At 45.8% G+C, this 9,095-nt stretch overlaps 2 annotated features.

Annotated features, from left to right (window-relative positions):
* Positions 1,998–2,292: a silencer, noted in NCBI's record as "tiled region #5639; HepG2 Repressive non-DNase unmatched - State 13:Ctcf". NCBI's record gives its function as "represses a minimal TATA promoter and a strong SV40 promoter by Sharpr-MPRA in HepG2 cells {active_cell/tissue: HepG2}" and the evidence as "EXISTENCE:reporter gene assay evidence [ECO:0000049][PMID:27701403]".
* Positions 7,152–7,371: an enhancer, noted in NCBI's record as "active region_24939". NCBI's record gives its function as "activates an Ori minimal core promoter by ATAC-STARR-seq in GM12878 lymphoblastoid cells {active_cell/tissue: GM12878}" and the evidence as "EXISTENCE:reporter gene assay evidence [ECO:0000049][PMID:35858748]".

Raw genomic sequence — 9,095 nt, 5'->3', positions numbered from 1 at the left:
TGCTGGGGTAGGGTCCTGGGAAAGTTGGATCATGGGGAGGCCTGGAGTGAGCTAAAGGCTTGCGGTGGTTGCTTGTTACTGGCTGATACGGGAAAAATGTCTCTAATTTAACAACTGGTATGTTTTTAATCAGTGCATACAAGCTAAATATCAGCCCTCATTAGTCTAACTTCCATTTTACACTTTGGGAAACTGACACTTAGAAAATTAGGAAACTTGGCCGGGAGCGATGGCTCACACTTGTAATTCCAGCACTTTGGGAGGCCGAGGCGGGTGGATCACAAGGTCAAGAGATCGAGACCTTCCTGGCCAACATGGTGAAACCCCATCTCTACTAAAAATACAAAAATTAGGCTGGGCACGGTGGCTCACGCCTGTAATCCCAGCACTTTGGGAGGCTGAGGCGGGCAGATCATGAGGTCAGGAGATCAAGACCATCCTGGCTAACATGGTGAAACCCTGTCTCTACTAAAAATATAAAAAATTAGCCGGGCATGGTGGTGGATGCCTGTAGTCCCAGCTGAGGCAGGAGAATGGCATGAACCCGGGAGGCGGAGCTTGTAGTGAGCCGAGATCGTGCCACTGCACTCCAGCCTGGGTGACAGAGCAAGACTCCATCTCAAAAAAAAAAAAAAAAAAAAGCAAAAATTAGCTGGGCGTTGTGGCATGCGCCTGTAGTCCCAGCCGGGAGGCTGAGGCAGGAGAATCACTTGAACCCAGGAGGCGGAGGTTGCAGTGAGCCAAGATCATGCCACTGCAGTCCAGCCTGGCGACAGAGCGAGATTCCGTCTCAAAAAAGAAAGAAAGAAAATTAGGAAACTTATCTGACTTACTACACTCTATTGTCTTTTCTGGGAAAGCAGGTAGAGATGCCAACCTCTGCATCAGGCTAGTTAAGAGTCAACAGAATGAGATTGAGCATCCAGCCTTAATAGAGTTGAAGAGGAGTTAAAGAGCTAGGGAGCTGCACACCTGATTAAACTGGGTCAGCCACATCATTCTATGGTAAGACTTTAATGACATTAGGATCAATAACCCTTGTTCTGTAAACACATCTATTGCTATGTTCTTCATCTCTTTCTGCTTTGTTTTTCACTGTATTTCCTGGGGTGTGAACTGCAACCACAAACTTTGATATTTAAGAAAAACCGTGTTTCCTTATTTTCCTTAAATTAAGCTTGACTCTGAGCCCCTGTCACATCAAGCTGGCAGGAAAATTTAATCTCAATTTCCTCTCCTTTACACTCCCAGATCAGGCATAGTATTTGAAGAGGCCTCTCCAGTCTTTAATCCATATTGGTTACTACTGAGATTCCCATGGTTCTTGAAGCCACACAGACCCTTCAATTTCAGGCACTATGTTTCAGTAAAGCATGGGAATCCCTGCTGTTTGGAAACCCTGAAGTTTAGAGCAGGCCTTTCTGAGGCTAGCCTCTTAGGTCTTGGCACTACTTCAGGACACTGCTGGGAGAGAAGAGACACACCAGTCCTTTCCCAGCCTAAGGAAATCTCCATCTCCTCCTGTAGTTTTTATTTTTTGTTTTAGATACAGGGTCTTGCTCTGTTGCCCAGGCTGTAGTGCAGTGGGGTGATCACAGCTCACTGGAACTCCTGGGCTCAAGCAATCCTTCTGTCTCAGGCTCCTTAGTAGCTGGGACTACAGGCATGCATCACCATGCCTGGCTAATTCTTCAGTTTTTTTTTTTTAATATTTATTTATTTATTTATTTATTTAGAGACAGAGTCTTGCTCTGTTACCCAGGCTGGAGTGCAATGGCACAATCTCAACTCACTGCAACCTCTGCCTCCTGGGTTCAAGTGATTCTCCTACCTCAGCCCCCCAAGTAGCTGGGATTACAGGCATCAGCCAATAGGCCTGGCTAATTTTTTGTATTTTTAGTGGAGATGGCGTTTCACCATGTTGTCCAGGCTGGTCTCGAACGCCTGACCTCAAGTGATCCACCTGCCTCAGCCTCCCAAAGTGCTGGTATTATAGGCATGAACCACCACACCCAGCCAGCTTTCCATTCTTTTAAACATCACAGATAAAGAAATACAAACTGCCTACCTGCCTGCTTGGAAGGGATAAAGGGGGAGAATGTAGGGTATTAGTGTCTCCATAAATTACCCTGCCATATCAGTAAAAGCCTTTGAATCGCTTCAACCAGGGAGTTGGAGGTGGCAGTGAGCTGAGATTGTACCACTGCACTCCAGCCTGGCGACAAAGTGAGATTCCGTCTCAAAAAAAAAAAAAAAGAATCATGAAAAATTTCAGAAATATGATTTCTGAAAAATCAAGTGTTGTGCTCTATATTTAAAAGCCTGCCACTAGGAGGAGACAAATGAATTAAAAATTGTTTAACCTGTTCTTTTAGAACACATTTTCTTTTTTTTATTTGTTTTTGAATTTTTTTTTTTTTAGAGACAGGAGGTCGCTTTGTCCCCCAGGCTAGAGTGCAGAAACGCTATCATAATTCACTGCAGCCTTGATATCCAGGGCTTAAGCGATCTTCCCACCTCAGCCTCCACAGTATCTGGGACTACAGGCTCATGCCACCATGCCCGGCTAATTTAAAAAATTTTTTTGTAGAGATGGAGTCTCACTATGCTGCCCAAGCTGGTCTTGAGCTCCTGAGATCCAGCAATCCTCCTGCCTCAGCCTCCCAAAGCACTGGGATTACAACTGTGTGCCACCTCACTTTGTCTTAAAAATCAACATTTTACACTTACGTAGTAGTTTATATTCCATTTAAGGACAATACGAGCTTTTAAAAATGTATCTTATTCTGTTTTAGATTGAAAACTAAATGTTAATCGACTGGTTCTCAAACTTCAGCTGTATCAGAATCAGCTGGAGGGCTAATTAAAATGCAGACTGCTCAAGCCCCACCCCCAGAGTTTCTGATTCAGCAGGTTTGATATAGGAGAGGACAGAAAATATGCCTTTTTTTTTTTTTTTTTTGAGACAGGGTCTCACTCTGTCACCCAGGCTGGAGTGCAGTGGTGCGATCTCTACTCACTGCAACCTCCATTCCCTGGGTTCAAGTGATCCTCCCACCTCAGCCTCCTGAGTAGCCATGCATCACCATGCCTGGCTATTTTTTTTGTATTTTTAGTAGAGACATGTTGCCCAGGCTTGTCTCCTGAGCCCAAGCAATCCGCCGGCGTCAACCTCCCAAAGTGCTGGGATTACAGGCGTGAGCCACTGCGCTCGGCCGAACATACGCCTTTCTAACAAGGTCTCAGGTGATTCTGATGCCCTGGTCTAAGGAACACGCTTTGAGAACCACTGTGCTAGATGACAGTAGACGTCAACACCACCTGCCAACAATCAGATTCAATTAAATATTGAGAACACACTAAGTAAAGTATTCCAGTTTGCTAGAAAGTAATGTAGTGTTAGAAATAAGACTGGAATTACCGTCTTTGAAGGCCTTGAATTCAAAAGAAAGCACTTGGCTGGCGTGGTGGTTCACGTCTGTAATCCCAGCACTTTGGGAGGTTGTGGCAGCGGATCACCTGAGGTCAGGAGTTCTAGACCAGCCTTGACCAACATGGTGAAACCCTGTCTCTACTAAAAATACAAAATTAGCTGGGCGGGGTGGTGCATACCTGTAATCCCAGCTATTTGGGAAGCTGAGGCAGGAGAATCGCTTGAATCTGGGAGGCGGAGGTTGCAGTGAGTGCAGGTTTTGTTTTTTTTTTTTCTTTTTTTTTCTGAGACAGAGTTTTGCTCTGTCACCCAGGCTGGAGTGCAATGGCATGATCTCAGCTCACTGCAACCTCCTCCCCCTCCCAGGTTCAAGCAATTCTCCTGCCTCAGCCTCCCGAGTAGCTGGGAGTACAGGCCCTGCCACCATGCCCGGCTAATCTTTGTATTTTTAGTAGAGATGGGGTTTCACCATGTTGGCCAGGCTGGTCTTGAACTCCTGACCTCAAGTGATCCACCCGCCTCAGTCTCCCAAAGTGCTGGGATAACAGGTATGAGCCACTGCACCCATCCCATTCCTTTTATGTTAAAGCAAAAATAGATGGAGAAGATTGCAAAATCTGCATAACTTTTTTTTTTTTTTCTTTCTTGAGACAGTGTCTCACTCTGTCACCCAGGCTGGAGGGCAGTGGCACTATCTCGGCTCACTACAACCTCTGCCTCCCGGGTTCAAGTGATTCTCCTGCCTCAGCCTATCGAGTAGCTGGGACTACAGGCGCCCACCACACCCAGCTATTTTTAGTGGAGATGGGGTTTCACCATGTTGGCCAGGCTGGTCTCGAACTCCTGACCTCAGGTTATCCACTCACCTCAGCCTCCTAAAGTGCTGGGATTATAGGCATGAGCCACTGCACCTGGCCAAATATAATTTTTTTTTAAAGTTCCAGTTCCAGAGTCATCTTTATTTAAAAAAAAAAAAAAAGTTGAAGCTTTTCCTAAAGCATGGTCCTAAGGTTCAGATAGGTGGGTTCTTTAAGGGAAGGGGTAGGAGGTCGTGGTAGAAAGGAAATATAAGGCTGGGCTTGGTGGCCCACGCCTGTAATCACAGCCCTTTGGGAGGCCAAAGTGGAAGAATCACTTGAGCCCAGGAGTTCAAAACCAGCCTGGGTAGCATAGTCCCGATCTCTACAAAAAATTAAAAAAATAGCTGGATGTGGTGGCACACACCTGTGGTCCCATCTACTTGGAAGGGTGAAGCAGGAGGATCATTAAAGCCTGGGACATTGAGGCTGCAGTGAGCTGTGATGGCACCCACGCACTCCAGCCTAGGTGACAGAGCAAGACCCTGTCTCCAAAAAAAGAGAAAAAAGAAAAAAATATATATCAATATGGAAAAACAAATTTGGACATTTAAATATTGACTTAAGGCCGAGTGCGGTGGCTCACGCCTGTAATCCCAGCACTTTGGGAGGCCCAGGCAGACAGATCATCTGAGGTCAGGAGTTCAAGACCAGGCTGGCCAACATGGCGAAACCCTGTCTCTACTAAAAATACAAAAATTAGCTGGGTGTGGTGGCGAGTACCTGTAATCCCAGCTACTTGGGAGGCTGAGGCAGGCGAATGGCTTGAACCTGGGAGGCAGAGTTTGCAGTGAGCCGAGATTTGCGCCTCTGCACTCCAGCATGGGCAACAGAGCAAGACTCTAAATACATGAACAAATAAATAAAAGTAAATAAATATTATTGACCTAAAAGCAAAAGTTTAGAGGTGTTCCAAAATTTAACTTAATGTGATAACCAAAGGTGGCCGATCGATGGCCTTGAGGGAAACCATAAGCATTTGAGGACTGTCAGTGGAAGGGTAATTTGGCAGCTGTGGGTCTAGGGCAGCTTGACTCAGGAAACTTTTCTGTGGTCCAGGTACGGGGAGATGAGACCCTGGATGAGGGCAGTGACTGAGGAAGATAAAGGGAAAGATCAGAGACATTCCACTTATAAATCATAAGACTTGGGTGACTGCCTAAATGAGGAGGAAAAAAATCTCCAGTTATGAGCCTGAGAGTCAGTTCAGAAATATGGTACTGGCAACATGAGGTAGCTTGCCCCAGTTGCTCTGTCCAAACAGATAAAAGGATGATTAACCAGACCAGTGGTTCTCAAGTGTGGTCCCCAGATCAGTGTAGTCAGCATTACCTGGGATTTTGTTAGAAATGCAAATTCGCAGGCTATACCCCAGATGACTAAATCAGAAATGCTGGGAAGGGGTCCTACAACTTGTGATTTAAGCTCTCCAGATGATTCTGATGCATATTATTATTATTACTTTGAGTCAGGGTCTTGCTCTGACACCAAGGCTGGTGTGCAGTGGTGTGATCACAGCTTACTGCAGCCTTGACCTCCTGTGTTCAAGTGATCCTTCCACCTCAGCCTCTTGAGTAGCTGGAACTACAGGCACACATCACCATGCCCAGCTAGTTTTTGCATTTTTAGTAGAGATGGGTTTCGCCATGTTGGCCAGGTTCTGATGCACATTTAATTTTGAAAACTGAACTAAGCCAGTCAAATTTTTTTCTTTTTTCTTTTTTTTTTTAGATGGAGTCTCTCTCACTCTGTCATCCAGGCTGGAGTACAGTGGTATGATCTTGGCTCACTGCAACCTCCACCTCCCAGATTCAAGTGATTCTTCTGCCTCAGCCTCTCGAGTAGTTGGGATTACAGGCACACACCACTACGCCTGGCTAATTTTTTTTTGTATTTTTAGTAGAGACGGGGTTTCACCATGTTGGCCAGGCTGGTCTCAAACGCTGACCTCAAGTGATCTGCCCGCCTTGACCTCCCAAAGTGCTGGGATTACAGGCGTAAGCCACCAAGCCCAGTCATATATATATATTTTTTCAGATGGAGTTTCGCTCTGTTTGCCCAGGCTGCAGTGCAATGGCGCGATCTCGGCTCACTGCAATCTCCACCTCCCGGGTTCAAGCAATTCTCCTGCCTCGGCCACCCAAGTAGCTGGGATTACAGGCATGCACCACCACTCCCGGCTCATTTTGTATTTTTAGTAGAGACAGGGTTTCTCCATGTTGGCCAGGCTGGTCTCGAACTCCTGACCTCAGGTGATCCGCCCACCTCGGCCTCCCAAAGTGTTGGGATTACAGGCATGAGACACCGCGCCCGGCGTTTTTTTTTTTTTTTTTTTCTTTCAGGAATTTGGGCTGGGCATGGTGGCTCATGCCTGTGATCCCAGAGCTTTGGGAAGCCGAGGCAGGAGGATTGCTTGAGCCCACCAGTTCAAGACCAGCCTGGGCAACATAGTGAGACACTGTATCTACAAAAAATTAAAAAATTAGCCAGGCGGCTGGACAAGGTGGCTCACGCCTGTAATTCTAGCACTTTGGGAGGCCAAGGTGGGCAGATCACCTGAGATCGAGAGTTCAAGACCAGCCTGACCAACATGGAGAAACCCTGTCTCTACTAAAAATACAAAATTAGCTGGGCGTGGTGGCGCATGCCTGTAATCCCAGCTACTTGGGAGGCTGAGGCAGGAGAATCACTTGAACCCGGGATGCAGAAGTTGCGGTGAGCCAAGATCATGCCGTTGCACTCCAGCCTGGGTAACAAGAGTGAAACTCCATCTCAAAGAAAAAAAAAAAAATTAGCCAGGCATGGTGGCACAGCTATAGTCCCAGCTACTCAGTAGGCTGAAGTGGGAGGACTGCTTAAGCCTGGGGTGCCAAGGATGCAGTGAGCTGTGATCACGCCACTGTACTCCAGCCTGGGTGACAGAGTGAGACTCTGTCAAAAAAAAAAAAAGAAAAAAAGAGAAAAAGAATTTGAAGTTGATTATACAGAGAATCAGTCTGTTGAATGTGGGGAGAGAAGCTAAAAGTGGTTATAAGTGGTTATAGAGAGACATGATATGAGTAAACTGGCATTATGACTAAGCAGAAGCTATGACTAAATGAGGTAGTTGGCTGGTAGTCATAGAGACAGAGAGAAATGGTGATACACACCCTCAGGTTTGGGGAGTACTGCATGACTCCTGCCACTGAGAGTGACACTTAACTCCATCTGTAGGTGTGCATAGAATTTGTTGTCCACTTCCATGTTCATTTTAGTTCCCAACTGCAGTCTAACCACTTGACTGTTCTTAAGTTCCTATGATATTCTCATCTTTCTTGTCATGTGTATCCTCAAAATAGACTTCCTCCCAGCTACTCAGAAGGCTGAGACGGGAGGATCACTTGAGCTCAGGAGTTTGAGACCAGCCTGGGCAAGATAGCAAGACCCCCATCTCTTTATAAAATATGTGTATAGAGAGACTTCCTACTACTTGAGATGGCAGGAGTAAATCTGCGTTCCTAAAACTTGAAAAGTTGATACAGGTTAAGCAACCCTAATCCAAAAATCTAAAATCCAGAATTCTCCAAAATCCAAAGCTTTTTTTTTTTTTTTTTTTTGAGGTGGAGATTCGCTCTTGTTGCCCAAGCTGGAGTGCAATGGCGTGATCTCGGCTCACTGCAACCTCTGCCTCCCTGGTTCAAGTGATTCTTCTGCTTCAGCCTACCAAGTAGCTGGGAGTATAGGCATGTGCCACCACACCCAGCTAATTTTGTATTTTTAGTAAAGATGGGGTTTCTCCATGTTGGTCAGGCTGGTCTCCTGTCCTCAGGTGATCTGCCCATCTCGGCCTCCCAAAGTGCTGGGATTACAGGTGTGAGCCACCATGCCCGGCCCAAAATCCAAAACTTTTTGAGTGCCAATGTGATGCCTCAAGGGAAAACTCCACACCTGACCTCATGTGATGGGTCAAAGTCAAAACTTTGTTTCAGGCTGGGCACAGTGGCTCATGCCTGTAGTTGCAGCACTTTGGAAGGTCAAGGCAGGTGGATCACTTGAGGCCAGGAGTTCCAGACCAGCCTGGCGAACATGGCGAAAACCCATCTCTACTAAAAATACAAAAATTAGCTGGGCATGGTGGCACACACCTGTAATCCCAGCTACTTAGGAGGCTGAGGCATGAGAATCGCCTGAACCTGGGAGGCAGAGGTTGCAGTGAGCCAAGACTGCCCCACTGCACTCCAGCCTGGGTGACAGAGTGAGACTCTGTCTCAAAAAACAAGAACAACAAAAAGAACTAAATAAATGGGAAAGCATCCCATGTTCCTTGATTGGAATGCTTAAAAATTTTTTTGTTTGTTTGTTTCAGAGGAGGGGAAGGAGAAAAAAAAGAAAGAAAGAAAAAAACTTTACTTCAACCAGCACATGGTTTATGCTTGTTATCCCAGTGCTTTGGGAGTCTGTTGCACGAGGATCACTTCAGCCCAGGGGTTCAAGACCAGCCTGGGCAACATAGCAAGATCCCATCTCAATTTAAAAAGAAAAAGAAAACTTTATTTCATGCACAGTTATTTAAAATATTATATAAAATTACCTTCAAGCTATGTGTATAAACTGTATATGAAACATAAATGAATATTGTGTTTAGACTTGGGTCTCATCCCCAAGATATCTCATTATACATATGCAAGTATTTCAAACTCTGAAAAAAACAGAAATCTGGAACACTTCTTTTTTTGAGACAGGATCTTGCTCTGTCACCCAGGCTGGAGTGCAGTGGCATAATCTCAGCTCACCGCAACCTCCACCTCCCACATTCAAGCAATTCT

This window comes from Homo sapiens, chromosome 6 (genome assembly GCF_000001405.40).
Source record: "Homo sapiens chromosome 6, GRCh38.p14 Primary Assembly".
NCBI lineage: Eukaryota > Metazoa > Chordata > Mammalia > Primates > Hominidae > Homo > Homo sapiens.
The sequence above is the reverse complement of the archived record's forward strand: the minus strand, read 5'-3'. Positions and strand labels throughout refer to the sequence as shown.